The following is a 20,105-nucleotide window of genomic DNA, read 5'->3' as shown; positions in this document are numbered from 1 at the left end:
AAATATCATTTACCCATTACAAAACTAGTCGTCTTCTCTTATTCCTTTGTGGTTATAGCCTCACCATCCCAGGGACTGGACAGATGTTCCTAAGTGGAAGAGGAAAGGAAAAATGGGATCAGAATCTCAGGGACACCTTCGACTCCAATTGCCACTCCCTGCCTCACCACCACCAAGCCCTCCATCCCTTACACAGCGAGATCAAAGGTCTGAATCCGGAGACACCAGCCTGAGTTCCAACCAAGGTGACTGATTATGAGAAATGTCTGAGACTGGGAAGGGGGTCAAGCAAGGGTGATCAGGTAGGTGCTGCTTAAGGCTTAAATACCCCCAAGATATTATGGTATCATACCCACCAAAAGAGAGCCCTAAATAACAGTAACAACAAAAAATCTGTTAAATCAATCCCAGTGCCTTCTGCTTAGGAGAGGAAACGGGATTAGGATGCCCATGAAAGCAGCATGACCCGCCAGGGGGATATGTGTTAATCACCTCTTCCCGAGCTCCTGTCCCTTCCCTCCACCCGCTTCTCTTGCTCTCACACACAGAAAGGGGTAGCAATCACTTCAGCCATAGAAGGCCTGGATTCCAGGCTGCTGCCAAGAGAAACAGCCCACAAACAGGGAAGGGGAAGGTGGAGGCATCGGGATTTCACGCCACAGAATGTGTGTGTGTGGGCGGACATGGTCTAAAACGATGGGAGAAACTCGCTTTACAACTTTAATGGGGTAATAGGCCTCCTGTTAACATGATTATTATCTGATGCTATTTATTTGGAGTCTCTAAGGTATAGAAGAAAAATGTGGTTACACAGACACCTGCTTGCTCTATTCAAGGCTTTGAGGAGGGAAGGGACGATCGTGTATTGAGCAACAACCTGGGCCCTCTGCTGTGGACACATCCCAGCCTGGAGGCACCCTCCTCCTCCTTTTACAATGAAACTGAGGCTCCGAGAAGGAAAGCAACACGGGTTCCACCACAGAGTTACTTAGAGCCAAAGTTCCAATCAATGTCCGTCAGATTTTAAGCCCTCTGCCCCAACACCTCTTCTTTTGACGTAGGGACAAATCACCCTCATGTGAAGAGGAGCCCAGCACACACCGATAATTCCATGCTTCAATGCCTTTCATCACCTCAGCTGATAAATACTTGTTCTGACTGAGCAAACACACAAAGGAAACCAAAACAGATGGGCACAGAGTCCGTGAGAACTGATCGGGTCCCATTTGTCACAACCCTATTTTAGAAATCACCGCAGCAGGATATTAAACGTGAGCCTTTGTCTCAGCATTTCAGTTTTTTCTGGCAGCAGTCCCAGAGGCTGGGGACAACAGTAGGTGCCATGTGCCCCCATTAAATCACATGGTAGGTTCTCCTTCCAGGGGCCACCAAGCAGCTTCTGCCCACATGGACTGGTCACCATCAACTTCCCTGGAGGCACGGAGCTGGCTGTAGAGGTTCCCACCCATCTCCATAGGAGGGGGGACTGCGGTGTCTGTCCCTTCACCTCGAGCCGGTGAAGCAACATCAAAAGTATTAACACAGCATTTGAGGGTCGCAGCATCCATGGGATTGGATTGGCATCTTACTCCCACCTGGGAACAGCCAAGGGCGAGCAGCTGTAGATGATGCTCCCTGCCTGCTGGCAGAGCATTGAAAGCAAGTTGCTGCCGCAGGTGGTCAGGGAAAGGTAAGCGGCTTTTTCAGGGAAGACCTGGTGGAAGGTCCTGCCCAAGAGGACTCTCGATATATTAATTAATAACTGTAGCTTCATGTTAAATCTTTGTATCAGGCAAACATCCTCCTGGGTTTTCTTCTTCAGGAATGCCCTGGGTATACTCGGCCCCTTGATCTTCCATAGAAATTTCAGAACCAGTCTGTGGTCATCTAAAGGAGAGTCCAATTGGAATTTCTATAAATCAGTTTGGAGAATGTTAATCCCTTTATGACATCCAGACATCATATCTATAAACGTTGTGCTTCTTTTAAGTTTTTTAAAGACCTAAATAAAGTTGAATATGTTCTATCTGTAAAAGTCTTGAACATTTTAGATTTCCAAAGCACTTTACTTGTATTTGTTATTTTAAATTATGTCTTTTGAAATCACATATTCAAATGCTGGCCTAGAAATGCAATTTTGTTTTGTGTATTCATTTTATATCAGTATAAATTATTAATCTTAAAATTTGCCTATAGATCTTTGAGGTTTTCTGTATATTCATGTCCAAATGATGACAATCCTTATACTACTTTAATTTGCTACTTTATCTAGCATTACTGTACAAAGTTTAAAAGACGCAGCTAGAGCAGGAATGATTGTCTTGTTCCTAAATTGTCTTGGGCTGGGCGTGGTGTCTCACGCCTGTTATCCCCGGCGCTTTGGGAGGCCGAGGCAGGAGGATCACCTGAGGTCAGGAGTTCGAGACCAGCCTGGCCAACACGGTGAAGCCACATCTTTACTAAAAACACAAAAATTAGCCAGGCGTGGTGGCAGGTGCCTGTAATCCCAGCTACTCGGGAGCCTAAGGCAGGAGAATCACTTGAACCCAGGAGGCGGAGGTTGCAGTGAGTCAAGATTGTGCCACCGCACTCCAGCCTGGGCAACAGAGCCAGACTCTTTCTCAAAAAAATAAAAATAAAAATAAATTGTCTCTAATAGCTTATCATTAAGTATGAGATTAGTTGTAGATTATTTTGAGAAGTGCCTTCATCAGATTAAGAAAGCTCTCTTCTAGTTTATTAAGAATACTCATGAATAAATGCCAAATTATATTGAATAACTTTTCTACAAATATTGCAATAAATTTAATTAATGCAATTAATGAATAGCATTAATCCATTTTCATTTGAATCCATCTTATATTCTGCATTTACTCTGGTAAGACTTTTTTGCCCTAAAGCATATTTTGCCTGAAATTAATAAAGCTTCACAAATGAGCACTCACGGTCTACATGCTAAAAACTTTTTTCCATTTATATGTTTTAAAACTTTCTGGGTCCTCATGTTTCAAGTAAAAAGCATGTTACTGGGTTCTGTTTCTTTTTCATCTGTTCTGACAACCTGTCTCAACTGGCAAGTTTAAATCACTTATATTTATTTTGAATGCCGATATATTTGAGTCCATTTTAGTCTTTGTGCTTTCTATAAGTTGCTTTTTTTATATTACTTTTTCTCTGTTTGCCTTCCTTGATTGTCTTATTCCATATTCTTCCTCTACTTGTGTGAAGTTCTAAGTTCTGTTTTACCTCTCTTGACTTTTGAGGAACTTGGGCTGTAGAAGTTCTTTGAAGCCTGAGTTAAGAGGTTATTTTTTCTTCAAAGAGGATTTGTAATTACTTTGGCAAAATGGCAGAAGGCATTGCCAAATCATTACTCCTTTTAACTCAGTTTTTGCTTGGGATCTTTTGGAATTCTTGGGTAGTGTAAATTCTATCCTCAAACGCATGTGAAAGTCAGATTGTGGGTCAGAATCCTCAGGAGACTTTTCTTTTTTTCTTTTTTTTTTTTTTTTGAGACAGAGTCTTGCTCTGTTGCCCAAGTTGGAGGGCAATGGCGTGATCTCGACTCACTGCAACCTCTGCCTCCTGGGTTCAAGCAATTCTCCTGTCTCAACCTCCCGAGTAGCTGGGACTACAGGCATGTGCCACAACGCCAAAAAAAAAAAAAAAAAAAAAAAAAAGAGCCAGGTGAGGTTTTGTTGTTTTTATTACTGTTTTTTGTTTTGATTTTCTTGCTTCTGTTTTCCTGAATCTAGAGCCAAAATGGATACGGAGAAGTTTCCTTGTGTGGCTCTTAGTGTGTACACACCACTGCCGGCTCTGTCCAGGCCCACCTCTTGCTTGGCCATTGTTTGTTTATGCCTGTGTATCCCATCTCACATTCCCATTCCCTCCCCCATGTGGCCAGCCATTCTCGTATGTTTGCTCTATGTATCCAGCTGAATTGTGTTCCCCCAAAATTCATGTCTACCCAGAGCCTGTGAAACAGAGAAATAGAGTCTTTGCAGATATAATCAAGTTGAAGTCAAGTCACGCTAGAGTAGGGCAGGCCTTAAATCCAATGTGACTGGTGTCCCTATAAGAAGACAGAAATGTAAATGCAAAGAGAGGCATGGGCACACAGAGAAGGAAGACAGAAGCAGAGACGGGAGTGATGCATCTACAAGCCAAGGAAGACCAAGAATTGCCAGCACCATCAGAAGCTACGAGACAGGCATTGAACAGATTCTTCCTCGGAGGCCCAGAAGGAACCAACCATGTCGACACCTCAGTTTTGGACTTCAGGCCTCCAGAACTATGAGAGAATAATTTATTTTGTTTTAAGCCACCCAATTAGTGGTAGTTCCTAACAGCCCTAGGAAACCAATGCAATGTAAATTCTATAATTTGTATTCTTGCAAAACATGAATTGCTTTGTATGACTGTAATTTTAATTTACATAAACAATATCATGCTGTAGATTGCTTCTGCTTGTTTCTTTCATTTCTTGTAGCACTTTCTTTGGGATATATCCATGGTGTGGGTACCTCTGGTAGCATTCATTTACGTGTTCCCAATCCACTCACTAGTGATGGGCTCCCAGGAGGCTTCAGATCCCTGTCCCTGCAAGCAGGGAGAATAAACATCTGTACACACACCAAATGACTTGTGCATGACAATTTATTTTGTTCATATACCCAAACATGGAATTGCTAAGTCGTAAGAACTATGCAAGGCCGGGCGCAGTGGCTCACACCTGTAATCCCAGCACTTTGGGAGGCCGAGGTGGGCAGATCACCTGAGGTCAGGAGTTTGAGACCAGCCTGACCAACGTGGAGAAACCCCGTCTCTACTAAAAATACAAAATTAGCCGGGCGTGGTGGCGCATGCCTGCTCAGGAGGCTGAGGCAGGAGAATCTCTTGAACCCAGGAGGCGGAGGTTGCAGCGAGCCAAGATTGTGCCATTGCACTCCAGCCTGGGCAACAAGAGCAAAACTCCATCTCAAAAAAAACAAAAACAAAAACAAAAAAAAGCCTGTGCATATTTAACTGAAATAACTACTATTAGAATGCTTTCAGAATCACTACTATACTTTTCTCACTCCTACCAACTGTACATGAGGGTTTTTCTGTCCTCAAACCCCAACCATACTTGTCATTATTTGGCTTTCTACGTTTTGCCAGCCTAGTAGGTATAAGGTAACGTGTCACATTTTTATCTGCACTCTGATTAATAATCTGAACAACTCTTTCTTTGTATGCCTGTTTATTCTTTTCGTAAATTACCTGTTTGCAACCTTTGCTCATTTTTTTTTCTGTTGGGATGCTGTCTTATTCTTGTTGCTTTGTACGAGTTCTTTGTATATTTTAGATCAGCAATTCAAAAGTTTTTGGCAGGGGGTGGGGCACTGTTTATACTCTTAAAAATAACTTAGAATCCTAAAGAGCTTTTGCTTACATTTATTATATCCAATATTTTCCATGTTAGAAAACAAAACTGAGAAAGTTTTTGTTTGTTTTGTTTTGTTTTGAGACGGAGTCTCACTCTGTCGCCCAGGCTAGAGGGCAGTGGCGCCATCTCGGCTCACTGCAAGCTCTGCCTCCTGGGTTCACACCATTCTCCTGCCTCAGCCTCCTGAGTAGCTGGGACTACAGGTGCCCGCCACCACACCCACCTAATTTTTTTGTATTTTTAGTAGAGATGGGGTTTCACTGTGTTAGCCAGGATGCTCTTGATCTCCTGACCTCATGATTCACCTGCCTCGGCCTCCCAAAGTGCTGGGATTACAGGCGTGAGCCACCGCGCCCCCAGCCTAAAGGTAACAATTTTAAACTCGTTACATGTTAACACAAATAACATTTTTTATAAAAAAATTATAATTTCCAAAAACTTAATGAGAAAGAAGCAATATTTTTCAGTTTTTCAACTCTTTTGAATGTTTGGCTTAAGACAGTTGAATTCTTGCATCTGCTTCTGTGTTCTGTTGAAATATATTATTTTGGTTGAAGTAAATGAAGATACTTAGTTGGGAGATGGAAGAGTTATTTAATAATTGCAGATAATTTGATATATTCTTTGCTACTACACCAAAACTCAGTAAGTGGTAATTTTTAAAGGTTATTTGCAATGTGGAATCCAAAATTATATTGAAGAGCTTTTCACTGTTCCCTAAAAATCCACCATCCAGTTTGAATAGATCTTTTACCCATGCATGATTTTGTAGAATCATTCATTAGTCATTTGGGAAATATTAGTTCACAGTTACACAAGTCACCCAAATGTTAACATATTTCATTATACAATATCAAAAAAATCACATTTGTTGGTATCACTACCAATCTCATCAGAAATGTCTTTAAGTGCTGGGAACCTGTCAAGCTCATGATAATGAATATGTTTCCCAAAATCCTAATTTTTGCTTTAAAGCTTGAATGTTATCATTGCCAACACATACTGTCGGTGGTTTTCTTTGAAGTGCCAAGCTCAATTTATTCACTTCTGAGAAAGCAGGGTGGGAGGTGCTGGGATGAGAGGCAGGTAGTTTGCTTTCAGTCTCACAAACTTTCTCCTAAAAGGCTACCAATTCCAGCAGACTCTGACCAGAATACTGGACAGCCAGGCAGCCAGACTGCAGCCTGAGAGCTGAAGGAAAAGTAACGCCCCTATTCAGGCCCCTAACTCTGCAGCCAAGGGCAAACTCAGCCTGTCCTGAGACTACGAGACCACCTGCCTGGGAGGCCAGAGAGAAACCTGAGCTTTCTGACCAACACTCCCAGGAGCCACCTGAACTGGCCACTGTCCAGCCAGGTGAACTTCTCAGAGTCCCAGTTGTCTTATCTACAAGACAGAGCTGATAATGGCAAACTTCAGCCACAATTATTGAGCACCTCTTATCTTCCAGGCTCTAGATGACAGCTCCAGACAAGTCTCAGCCCCAAGGAGCGTATGTTCTGGAGAGCACTGGTTGGACCCTGTTGCAAGGATAATAGATGGGAAATGAGAGAACCAAAGCCAAATCTAGCCAGAGAGGTGACCTCTTATTACTAAAGAGCCTAGTGTTACCTAATCTATTGCACCATCTATTGCTTTCCACCCCCAGAATTCCAAACAAATATCAAGTGAAAAATCACACTGACTCGACGTCTGGCATTTCAGTTAGTTCATACAGAACTACTGTAGCTAAATAAAATACTCAAAATAGTTCCTGCACATCCCACCATGAGTATTACTAGGGTCTGAGCATCCCAGATGATTCAGAAAATCTTCACCTTTCCATATAGTAGGGATAGATTTCAGATTTAAAGTGGGTTTTTTGGGTTTTTTTTTTGAAACAGAGTCTTGCTCTGTCGATTTAAAGTGTGTTAAACAAAGAACTCGTGCTCTCTCTCTCTCCCTTTCACTCCTCTCTTTCTCCCCCCCACCCCCACACACCCAAACCACTATTCTTTTAGGATCTTCTAGGAATTTTGGTCTCCTAGGAGTGCATTATAAAATGCAAATAACCCAGGAGGAGGTCACACTTAACGCCATCCTCAGTTTACACTTGAATTAACAATTAACTCCTTAGGAGAAGCCTCCAGCTTGCAGAATTTTCAAGCAGACCTCAGAAATCAACCACCGACTCTCTCACTCAGTTAATGGATCCCAACAAATGAACAAAATTGGGATTGGAAAGGGGAAGCGTCTTCCCAGGATCATGCAGCCTACTGGCAAGAGGGTGGGTAGGGAAGCCAGTTTCCTACTCTGCAGGCTTCCAAAGCCTCCTGTTCTTCTGGGCATAATCAAAGGCTCCCAGAGCAGCAAAGGGCAGCTTCCATTCAGAAGGACTCCATGTTCAGGCTGCAGACACCCTGCACAGTGCCCCTGCAGCTCTGGGAGTTGTTCTAGAACTTTCCTCAAGTCCACTTACTACTGTATCTCCAGGTTCATCCACCCAACTGCCACCTCCATATCCAGCCCTTCAGCTGATCCCCACTCCCAGCTGTCTCCTGGGCTCCCCATCCTGGCTTCCCCTGGACACTGCCTTTCAGCTGTCCCTGTGCCTGCCATATGCAGTCCACACCTGGTCAAGCCTGAGCACTTCTGCTCCGGCCCAACTTCAAATGTCCTTTTTAGTCCAGAAGAGAATTGAACAGCTATTGTGACAAACGCACCTCATGTAGCACCCAGGACATGCCTAATCGGGTGGTAGTGTTACAGGAAAAGGGGTCCTGATCCAGACCCCCAGAGAGGGTTCTTGAATCTTGTGCAAGAAAGAATTTAGGGCAAGTCCATACAATGAAGTGAAACAAGTTTATTAGGAAAGTAAAGAAGTAAAAGAATGGCTACTTGGCAGACGGAGCAGCCCGTTTTTTACGGTTATTTCTTGATTATATGCTAAACAAGGGTGGATTATTCATATTCATGCCTCCCCTTTTTAGACCATATAGGGTAACTTCCTGACTTGCCCTGGCATTTGTAAACTGTCCTTGCGCTGATAGGAGTGTAGCGGTGAGGATGACCAGAGGTCACTCCCGTTGCCATCTTGGTTTTGGCAGGTTTTGGCTGGCTTCTTTACTGCAAGCTGTTTCATCAGCAAGGTCTTTATGACCTGTATTTTGTGCTGACCTTCTATCTCATCCTGTAACTTAGAATGCCTTACCCATCTGGGAATGCAACCCAGTAGGTCTCAGCCTTATTTTACCCAGCTCCTATTCAAGATGGCATTGCTCTGGTTCAAAGGCCTCTGACAGTGGAAGAAAGTCTAGAAAACAAGGGAGTGATGGACGTTCTTGGGGCAGGCCCTGAACCAGGTCCTTTCTGCAGAACAGCTCCTTTGGAGGCTTCTGGAACCCAGTGTCACCTACTCCCGTCTCCTGCTCCTCCAACTCCCTCACAGTGGCTCTGGAGAGGGCATGAAGGGCCGGCTAACCCAATGGGAGACACACACACAGCAGTCACCCTGAAAGCCAGGCTTCTAGTTTTCACAAGCTACTGGGAAGCCCATCAGTTCATGCTTGTCATTCAATATCCCAATAATCCTCTTCATGTTTCTCAGCCATATTTGTTGATCAATCAATTCTGTCTCATTAGAAAAATTTGCGTCTGTAGAATCCATTTTTCCTTATGTATCTTTCAGGAATCAGGCGCACATGCTCCAAATATACACATACAGTCGTCCCTTGGTATCCGCAGGGGGTTTGTTCCAGGATGGTCCCCCTCATACCAAAATTTATAATATTCAAGTTTCTTATGTAAAATGGTGTAGTATTTGCATATGACCTATGCACATCCTCCCATATACTTAAAATTATCTCTAGATTACTTTTTTTTTCGAGACGGAGTCTTGCTCTGTCTCTGTGGCTGGAGTGCAGTGGCACAATCTTGGCTCACTGCAACCTCCACCTTCTGGGTTCAAGCGATTCTTCAGCCTCAGCCTCCTGAGTAGCTGGGACTACAGGCGCCCGCCACAACGCCCAGCTAATTTTTGTATTTTTAGTAGAGACGGGGTTTCACCATATTGGCCAGGCTGGTCTCAAACTCCTGACCTCGTGATCCGCCCACCTCGGCCTCCCAAAGTGCTGGGATTACAGGCGTGAGCCACCGTGCCCGGTCTGTATTACTTATAATACCTTACAGAATACAAATGCTATGTAAATTGTTGTTATACTGTATTTTTATTATTTTTATTGTTGTTTGAATCTGTGGATGCGGAACCCACAGATAGGGAGGGCTGACTGTATTCTGGGGAAAAAGAATGATTTATCACGTAAATTTGTCACTTAAGCAGTTCAAGGAAAGATGGGGTGATTCCTTCTCCGGGAGGTTGCCACAGGAATTATAGGAGGTGCTGTTAGCTGCCTTCCCAATGGTGAAGCCTCACAGTTTGAATGGGACTGATCCCAGCCCCAGCTCCAGGAGTGGGCCCTGTTTGGTCTAAATCATGATTCACCTATCAGTAGCCTCACCCTCTCAACACAAAAATTGGTTCAGTGGGCCGGGCACGATGGCTCACACCTGTAATCCCAGCACTTTGGGAGGCCGAGGCAGGTGAATCGTGAGGTCAGGAGAGCAAGACCATCCTGGCTAACATGATGAAACACTGTCTCTACTAAAAATACAAAAAATTAGCCAGGCATGGTGGCGGGCACCTGTCGTCCCAGCTACTACGGAGGCCGAGGCAGGAGAATGGCAGGAACCCAGGAGGCAGAGCTTGCAGTAAACTGAGATCGCGCCATTGCACTCCAGCCTGGGTGACAGAGCAAGACTCCATCTCAAAAAAAAAAAAAAAAAAAAATTGGTTCACTGTGTGTATGCATATATAAAATAATCACATCTATCTCAAATAAATACAAATATCACATCTATCTCAAATAAATATAAACACGATTTACTTTCTAAATTACTTATATGAACATATTTAATTACTTCTGGTATTTAAAAAATGTGTAAGAAAGATCATCATCACACACAAAAAAAAAATTCGTTCAGAAACAGGCATTTGACCTAAGTTTGTCCAGGTGCAGTGAATTCTAGCACTTACGCTCCATGGCTGAGAGAAAGAAAAACCCCTGTCTCCTGCTGGACATGAAGGAGAAAGCACACATTCCCCCCCAACTGGCAACTGTCTTGTGACGACATGGGGAGCCAGCCTTGGATGTAGCTGACACGACGGAAAGCGGAGGGGAAAGAAAGAAAACTATTCATCGTCATCCTGAGCTTCCGGATCAAGCTTTGCTAAGTGTCAACCCTGCCTCTGGACTTTTCAACAACATGAAAACTCTTGTTATCTTTTAAGCCAGTTTGATTTGGATTTTCTACAGCTTCTAGCCAAAAGCATCTTAACTGATACAGAATTTTATGAATCCAGTAGGGATTTTGGTGACGTCTAAGCACACCACAAATCCTGAAGTTCACAACATGTTTCTGGGAAGGTGAGGCATGGGGTGAATACACCTGAGCCCTAAAAAGCCTCTGTCTCTCTCAGTCGTTCAGCATCACTCTGGCTACTAACAGCTGCTCTCAGGTGCACATAACGTCATCAGAGCTTCCTGAATTGTTGCTGTTTGCAACAGAGCAAGTTGAGGATATTCTCGTTTTTCCAGCCACCACGTGTATCTCCTGGCAAGTTTGGCTTTTGTAGCAGGATGCCACAGCACACTCTAACCAGGGGGCATAGTGGTGCAAATGTACAAGGATTCTCCCCCTCCCTCCTCCTAGCCCTCTCTGCCCCGTTCACCCTCCTAACCACCCACCCCCTCTTCACCCCCTGTGGGCCTTCAAAGGGTTAAATGCTAAAGAAGTGGCTTTTAAGAACAGCTGGAAACAAAGTGTTGCCCCAGGCTGACAGCAACCAACAAAAGGTCAGGAGGTTGAGGGAATCATTTTCCATGGGAATAATTTTCTAAGGAAAATGGTAAACTTATTTAAGTCACCAGGTGGGACACATAAAGGACAATCGTTCCTGGCTCTCAAGAAATGCGTGACGTTTGACCTCACAGATTTTGCCTGTCTCTGATTTACATAATGAACCCAAAACCTTGGTAACATTAAATGACTTTTTATATATAATATATATATGTATGCTATATCTTTTTTTTTTGAAATTGTATCACCTCTCTGGAAATAAACATGGGGGAGGGGAGAGGAGGATATAAAACATTCATACCCTTTAACCCAGCAAGCCGACTCTTGGGACTACAGCCCAGTGAAATATATTCAACAGGGGAAATAAGCTTCGTGTGCAAAGATGTTCACTGCAACATTATTTATGATAGAGAAAAAACCCTAATGGTTGAGCAAAAGGTGGTGGGTTCGTAAATTATCGCACATCAATGTGAGAGAATATTATGGGCCATTAAAAATGCAAAGTAACAATATGGAAAATGTCAACTTAAAAAAGCAGACATAAAACAATACGCACAGATGATTGGAACTAGCTGACTGCATCTCTGGTAAATAAAGACTGGAAAGTGCGGCAATAATGATAAACGTTAAATGGAGCCAGTAGAATCGGGAAAGATCCTCCTCTTTTTCTCGGTTTTATGTAATGTTAATTTATTTTAACTGATTAAAAATGTAATTTTGTTGCAGAAATGAAAATATTCATTAGCGGTGGTGAGGGTTGCACACCCTTATGAATGCGGTAAAAAACATTGAATTTTACACTTTCAATGGGTAAATTGAATGGTGTGTGAATTCTCTCAAGAAAGCTGTTATAAAACATGTAATTTTGTTTGCAAAAATGTGAGCCACTTTCTATGGAGAGAGAAAAGATCTTTGTTTTCCATTTAAGGAACAGTATCATTCAACAGCTGGATTATACAGGGCTTTTAAATAAATTCTCAACATAATTTATTAAGTTGGTAATAAATACCACCTTGGGTCCTGTTTTAACCAGAGCATACCCAGTGTGCCTAATGAGACAGGAGCCTCCCTGGTCCCTCTGGAAATGCGCTAGACATTAGTGGGAAAAAAAAGCTCTAAAATCAGACTGAATGAATGAGTCTAAACCTCAAAACAACAACTGAATCATAGTTTTGTTCTGGGCAGCTAATATCCTCTCTGAGCCTCTGTTTCTTCCTCCATAAAACAGAGTTAATTCCACCTTCCCAGTGGGGTTGTGAAAATTAAAATATACCACGCATCTCAAACATCTGAGAAATAGAAGATAGTCCGTAGCTTCTATATTCTTATTGAAAAGCAGAGGTGCAACTGAATCAAGTTTTTAAATTACTTTGAATTTTGCCCAAGTGAAGGGGTGCCCCCACAAATGATACTAGTGGTCCTTCTTCCTATGGTGAACCTGGGGAATGGTGGGGACATTTCTGTCCCTCAGAGTTGAATCTGGATTACCCCCTCCTCAGGGGTGTTTTCTAAGAGGCTGAGAGTGTTTTCTAAGAAATTGACCACTGGTCACTGGTCACTCATCCCTAACAACCTGACCCAACAGCCATCACGTTTGTGCATATGGCTCATCCCAAATCACTCGTGCCTGGAAAGGAGAGAGCAAAGCTTCATCCCAGGGCTCCTAAAACAACCGCTGAGTTCAGTCAAATAAAATCAGCTAAAGCAGCTCCGCACAGCAACATAAATTCCAGCTGGAGATGTGCACTCGTGATGAAACTGACTTCTTCCTAACGTGAAAATCCTGCAGCATAATGACAATCACCAAGGCTCTGGGGTGGGAAAAACCTCAGGCTGAATATTGTCTCTACCTCCTTAACAGCCTTCAGTCAAATTACTTACTATATCTATGACATGGTTTTCTCTACTGGAGAAAAACCGGGCTTAAAATGCTAGTTAATTGTAGAGAGGATAAAATAAGAAAAAATATAAACATTATCTGCTACATGGTAGATGCCCAATAAATGGTAATGTTATCCACCCTTCCCTGTTACTCCTTAACTGATGGACATCTCCTGCTAAGATAGGCTTATTCATCCTTTTTCTCATTCTCTTTCTTCTACTCCTACTCCCTAGTTCCACTCCTACCCTCTGATTCCTTCCCCTTCCCAAACCAACAAGCCCCAGAGTGCAAGCCTCCAAATGTCAGTCAGCACAGACTCGGCCCACAGCATACGGCCCCACACAAACTCCCCATGATCTCATGCAGTTGGACTGTTATTTTTACAGACTGGTATTAAGAAGCGTAAACCAGGAATGTTTTCAGCGCTGTCACACTGGGTATTCTCAGGCCTGCAGTGCAGATGGAGCGTTCCTAGAATTTTATGGTACCACACGTGGGCCTCTGTGCTCTTCTTCAGACCCCAGGCTCTCCAGGGCCTGGAGGAAAGCATCGGTGGGCTCCTCACTCCACTCTGCATTCTCTCCAGTTTGTTTCCGACCAGGCATTCCCTGCGCTAGCCACTGCCCTGAGAGAAGGAGTAGATTGGGGATCCAGCAGCTCTCTAGCGAGCGATCAGGGCACCTGCTGTATGAGAGTCATTGGCTGTGTAGCATGTGACCCAGGAAGTGGAGCTGCTTGTTCCTGACAAGCCACCCTGCTCTTCCACAAACAGAAGCAATGAGCGGGGCATGGAACAAGGCTGGGGAGGACACGTGCTCCCACCTCCCAACCGCCATGGAGGCAAACAACAGGAATTTCACAACTGCGGGACATGTACTGGAATTGTCACAGCTGCAATAAATCACCTGTGTAAACCATGAAACACAAGCCATGTATTTTGTCCTGTAATTGTGTAGATAGATAGATACATAGGTATAGCTATAGATATAGATCTATAGATATATAGTAGTCCTCCATCTTTTCATTATACACGGTTTCACTTTCTGTAGTTTGAGTCACCTGCGGTCAACCGCAATCCAAAAATATTAACTGAAAAATTTCAGGAAAAAAATAATTCCTAAGTTTTAAATTGTATGCTGTTCTGAGTAGTGCGATGAAATCTCTTGCTGTCCTGCTCCAACCCACCTGGGTTATGAATCATCCCTTTGCCCGGCGTTTATATAACATTTGTTTTCCCAAAAGTAGAAGAGAAAAGCAAAGAAAAGGTATAAGCACTCTGGTCTAACACAAGGGAAGATGAACACTTCAGTAGCAAGTACCTCCCCCACTGGAATTCTCTCTCTCTCTCTCTCTCTCTCTCTCGCTCCCTCCCTCTCTTCTCTCCTCCCTCCCTCCCCACTTCTTTCTCTCCTTTCTCTGTCTCTCCCTCTCTCTGGTGTGGACTCACACAGCTTTCTTCGCTCATTACACGCATTTCTGAATCTCAGCGGCTCAATAATTTGCTGTCATCAGCTGTGGTTTCTTTCTCAGTAACTGCAATTATTTGAAAACAATGTCAGCATGAAAGTCTTTCTTCTTTCTCCCTGGCACCCGCTCGGGGCTTTGCTCCTCACATGCCCTGTCTTGCTGCCTCTCCCGCCTGACTTTGCTTCTTTCCCTCCTCCATCTGCCTCGCCCCTCACCCGGCTCACAGTGTCCCTGGTAGAGAAGGGACAGAGTGACCCGTGTCTGTACACAAGGAGCAGCCACTGTACCCTCATGCACTGTAAGTGGGTTCAAGGCCAAGATCGGCAGGCGTGCCAACCAAGCCCCCAAATATTTTGGCGATGCCACGAGTATGCCACGAAGGTACTCCACCATGGCAGGCCCCAAAAGGGATACACAGATGCTTCTCTATTCTTTGTCCTCTCCCTCACTCAGACCACACAGCAGAACAACTTCAAAAACATTCAAGGAATGGTTCCCATTCTGTGGGTCTAAGGCCTCAGAGCTCCTTAAAGGGAAGACAATGCTCGTAAGTCCTTTCAGCATTCCAAAAACGCTAATAAAACCCATGCACCGGCTCATAGGGGATGGCCCAGGCTGGCTGAATCATCACATTTCTCTGCCTTGGTCCAGCACAGAATTGACACAACCTGAGATCACTGGCAAAATCACAAAGACCAGAGCCTTGCAGAGAATAAGCGCATCATTTACTAAATAAAAAGGAAAGTAATGATTACTTAGCCAACTGCTGTGTTTAGCGAACAAAAGTGTTTCTAAACACAGGACCAACAGGCAAATAATCTTGAATGAAATGGTTCTTAATAGAGAAACAGTCAGAAATCTTTGACTTCAACCTCATTCTAAAAGACAACTGGGTAGCTGTCTCAATTAAAGATACTGTCCACGTGACGGTGAAATGACAGACAGCAGCTGCTATTAGTGTGAAACTCCATGGCTTCCCAGGAAAGGGCACGGAAGGAGTGAATATATTCGTGATTCGCTATCCCAAGCACTGGGAAATAGAAGAGTGACAACTTCTACCTGTTGACCCACCAAATCCCCAAAGACCAAGGATGAACACAGGATGTCCTCGTTTTAACTGAATCATCTCTAAGGGACTCCAAAATGAACAATACAGAGAAATGCAGTCAGGATCACCACAGAGCTTGAGACTGCAGAGGTGTGGCTGAAAAAGGTTGCACTCTCTAGAACACGCTTGGAGTCCCGAATGCCTTTCTTCTGCTAGCCCATACAGCTTTGCCATCATCCAAAAACCTCCTGAAATCTCACCTCCTCCATGAACCCCAGATTAGTGATGATGAGAGAAAGTGATTCTTTTGTACCTATCACTTTCCAAAGACCACACAAGCCCTGCATATAAAATATGCACATGTCAAAAATAACAGGCCATATTTAGCTATTTTTTCCTACTCAAACGTGATATGCTGGGGACTCCCAGCTTGACCCAACTGTTTTAGGGAGGCCCAAGAAACCTATCATGTATCCTCCCCTAATAAAGCACGTGGCTGACAACGTCCTTACCTCTTCAGGAGTGTCCAAGGGCAGCCAACACTGCAAGCCAGGCCACTTCCCTTGGATCTTGCCCTGCACCCACTGACCACAGATGAACCACTCCTGCCCAGTACTAGTGCTTCCTGCATCACCATAGTGGATGCATTCCCTGCTGGGGACCACCAGGCCTACCAGCCATCACTGCCAATTGCACTGGGTGGAACCGTCTCTACTGAACTCCTTCACCTGGTTGGCTAAGTAAAAGAAATTGTCCCCTCTTCTTTTCATGCAAAATGCTGCTGGAAACATATCAAAACAACACAATTGTGCTCCAAAGCTTATTGAGTTTTTTAGCGAAAACAGCTGTATCAGTCTTTACTCACAGCCTTTTGTCTCTGGAAGACCAAGCCATGGGTCCTGGGGGGTGCTGGACCCTAGGCAAATCCAAATGAGAGTCTTCAGGCCAGGTACCGTAGGTTGGCTTCCTTCTGATGGCTGAAGCTTGGTAGTGATGCCAACCCCATGTCTCTGCCTCACTGAACCCTAAAAAAGTCCTCTTTTCTCTGAAGCCTCTGGGTGCCTCATTAAAAGCACTTAGGGAGAAGCCTCATGTACAATCGGACACTGCCATCCACTGTCACCAGCATTCAAAGAAAGACGCGTTGGCACCAAAAGAGGTAACTAAGTCACTGCCCTTACTGAGAAAGGAGTGTGTGTGTGTGCATGTGCGTACGTGTGCGTATGTGTACATGCATACTGTATGTGCATGCATGTGTGCATGTGTATGTGTCTGTGCATGTGTGTTTGCTCTCTCCCTACCTACACTGTGTGAGAGCAGGGATGAGGAAGGCATGACAAGAGTTTGGCAGACATAGACTATTTGAATCTTGGTGTGTGCAGGACATTTGAATTTTGGCAGAAAGAAATCTATTAGAGGAAGTATGTCATTAGAAATGGAAGTGTAGGGAGAGGTTAGGGTTAGTTAAGCTCAACTGAGGAAAGGGCCAGGTACCTATTCTGCTCATTTTGTCATGAACTACAGAAAATCTTATCACATACTGGAGAAACCTTTGTGCAGACAATCTTTTGAGAATCTGTTATGGGCTGAATTGTGTCCTTGCAAGATTCATATGTTGAAGCTCTAATCTCCAAAGTGACTGCATTTAGAGACAAGGTCTTTAAAGACACAATTAAGCTTAAATGAGCTCATAAGGGTGCAACTCATAATCCAACGGGACTTGTGTCCTTATAGAAGAGGAACAGACAACCAGGAATGTGTGTGCACAGAGAAGAATCCGTGTGCAGATGCGGTGAGAAGGTGGTCATCTGCAAACCAAGGAGAGAGGCCTCAGGAGAAATCAGACCCACCCGCACCCCCATCTTGGACTCCCAGCCTCGAGAATCGTGAGAAAATAAACTTCTGTTGGTTAGGCCACTCGGTCCGTGGTATTTTGTTATGGCAGCCCTAGCAAACTAATGCAGACTCACTGCACCGTATCACTGCTCTTGTTTTTATGTAACTTTAGGAACCGAGCCCCTTGTTTTTGCCCCACTGAAGTGAATGAGGACCTGTTGTCAACATGCCATCAGAGTTAATACAGAGCCCAAGCTGCCATCTTGGAAGCGAGTACTGTTCTACCACGTGAGCCTGTGTGTATCCTACACGCCCAAGGCAATTCCCTTGCCACATCCACATCCTTCGTATAGATACCTGTGGCACTCCTCCCTCAAAGGCACTAACCCTTAAAAGCCCGTTCATTAAAGTTGGTGCTAAAAGAGTAAATTCGAAAGTTGGCTCTCTCCTGTGGACCAGTTCAGTGAACCCAAAGGCTTATGCCAATCTCCCCATGACATTGCAATGATAAATCATCTCTGCCTATCTCTCTTCTCCCGGTCTTCTTCTCCTGCACTCCTGGGTGTGTGACAGACAACCAGGGAGTTTTCATTCCACTGTAGAGTTTAGTGTGGCAACCAATTCATTACGCACTTATGTCCCATCATCCCAGAGAGTGCTGTTAGCCCAGCCACACAGAAACCACACAACAGTCAACATAAATTACTGTCATTCCTAGACAACCAAATCCCGATTCACTTCACCTTGAAGAACCATGAAAATGCCATGAACATTGTATAGCCCTATCCTTTGCCAGCTTGGTTCGTTTTTAGCAGGGCCACACCAACAGCTAAATTGCTCAGGAGCCTTTACTGAGCAGCTTCCAAATTCTTATTGAGTAAAATGACAGAAAAAGAAAGAAATGCATTTCCTGTCCATTGTTCTGCTGATGGTAACCAATAACACTCTAAGTTTACGGGACCTTACTGATGCCAAGACTTGTTTTCACATGTACCTTGTCATGAGAGGATGAGAGAAGTGATAGCACATTGTTCATAGCTGCCCTCGATGGTTCCAGCACTCCAGAGGCCTCTGAGACTGCACTGGATGTTGATTGTTCCAGAAGTCACCAAAACTATTTGTTCTGTTGTCCATGTTATCCAGGAAATGCAGTTTTTTTGTTTTTTTTGTTTGTTTGTTTTGAGATGGAGTTTCCTTCTGTCTCCCAGGCTGGAGTGCTGTGGCGCGATCTCGGCTCACTGCAAGCTCCACCTCCCGGGTTCACGCCATTCTCCTGCCTCAGCCTCCCGAGCAGCTGGGACTACAGTAGGCGCCCGCCACCATGCCCTGCTAATTTTTTTGTATTTTTAGTAGAGGCGGGGTTTCACAGCGTTAGCCAGGATGGTCTTGATCTCCTGACCTCGTGATCCGCCCGCCTCGGCCTCCCAAAGTGCTGCGATTATAGGCGTGAGCCACCGCGCCCGGTCCAGGAAATGCAGATTTTAAATTTAATTTACTTGTTGAATTATTGATAGCCTGTGCCAATTTATTTCCCATTTCAATTTTTGGCAAAGCCAGTTCTGCTTATGCAATCTAGAATTTTGAGTTGTGGTATCTATTTTTCGTTTTCCTTTTGAGACGGAGTCTCGCTCTGTCGCCCAGGCTGGAGTGCAGTGGCGCAATCTCGGCTCACTGCAAGCTCCACTTCCCGGGTTCACGCCATTCTCCTGCCTCAGCCTCCGCAGTAGCTGGGACTACAGGCGCCCGCCACCACGCCCGGCTAATTTTTTTGTATTTTTAGTAGAGACGGGGTTTCACCTTGTTAGCCAGGATGGTCTCGATCTCCTGACCTTGTGACCCGCCCGCCTCGACCTCCCAAAGTGCTGGGATTACAGACATGAGCCACCGTGCCCGGCCTGTGATATTTAGTGATATCTATTTTTTACTATTTAAAAATGTAAATATCCTTTTTTTTTTTTTTTTTTTTTTTTTTTTTGAGACGGAGTCTCGCTCTGTCGCCCAGGCTGGAGTGCAGTGGCGCGATCTCGGCTCACTGCAAGCTCCGCCTCCCGGGTTCACGCCATTCTCCTGCCTCAGCCTCCCGAGCAGCTGGAACTACAGGCGCCCGCCACCACGCCTGGCTAATTTTTTTGTATTTTTTAGTAGAGACTGGGTTTTGCCCTGTTAGCCAGGATGGTCTGGATCTCCCGAGCTCGTGATCCGCCCGCCTCCACCTCCCAAAGTGCTGGGATTACAGGCGTGAGCCACCACGCCCGGCCAAAAATGTAAACATCCTTTCTTGAGTGTCTCATATGTACCACCCACGCCAGGCAATTTCCTTTCCTTTCCTTTATTTAGACTTTCAACCCTGAGGAATCCTTGTTTCTCAGGTAGGACAATTGACAACAGGAAGATAAAGTGAATTTCCTAAGACCCCTCAGTTTGCAAAGGTCAAATAGGTCTAACTTCAAATTCTCTGGTCCTTTTACAATACCACACAGCTACTCAGTGTTGTTTTAGAAAAATCCATCATTTGGGGCCGGGTGCAGTGGCTCACGCCTATAATC

At 44.4% G+C, this 20,105-nt stretch overlaps 1 long non-coding RNA gene across 1 annotated transcript in view; it reads right to left on the bottom strand.

Annotated features, from left to right (window-relative positions):
• The window catches only part of LOC105370982 (uncharacterized), a 171,228-nt gene that overhangs the window by 10,092 nt on the left and 141,031 nt on the right, over nucleotides 1–20,105 (bottom strand). The window contains exon 6 of the long non-coding RNA XR_007064770.1: nucleotides 14–89. This is a non-coding gene — a long non-coding RNA (uncharacterized LOC105370982). The remainder of the gene's footprint in view (nucleotides 1–13; nucleotides 90–20,105) is intronic.

Source organism: Homo sapiens, chromosome 15 (genome assembly GCF_000001405.40).
Source record: "Homo sapiens chromosome 15, GRCh38.p14 Primary Assembly".
In the NCBI taxonomy this organism is placed as follows: Eukaryota; Metazoa; Chordata; class Mammalia; order Primates; family Hominidae; genus Homo; species Homo sapiens.
The sequence above is the reverse complement of the archived record's forward strand: the minus strand, read 5'-3'. Positions and strand labels throughout refer to the sequence as shown.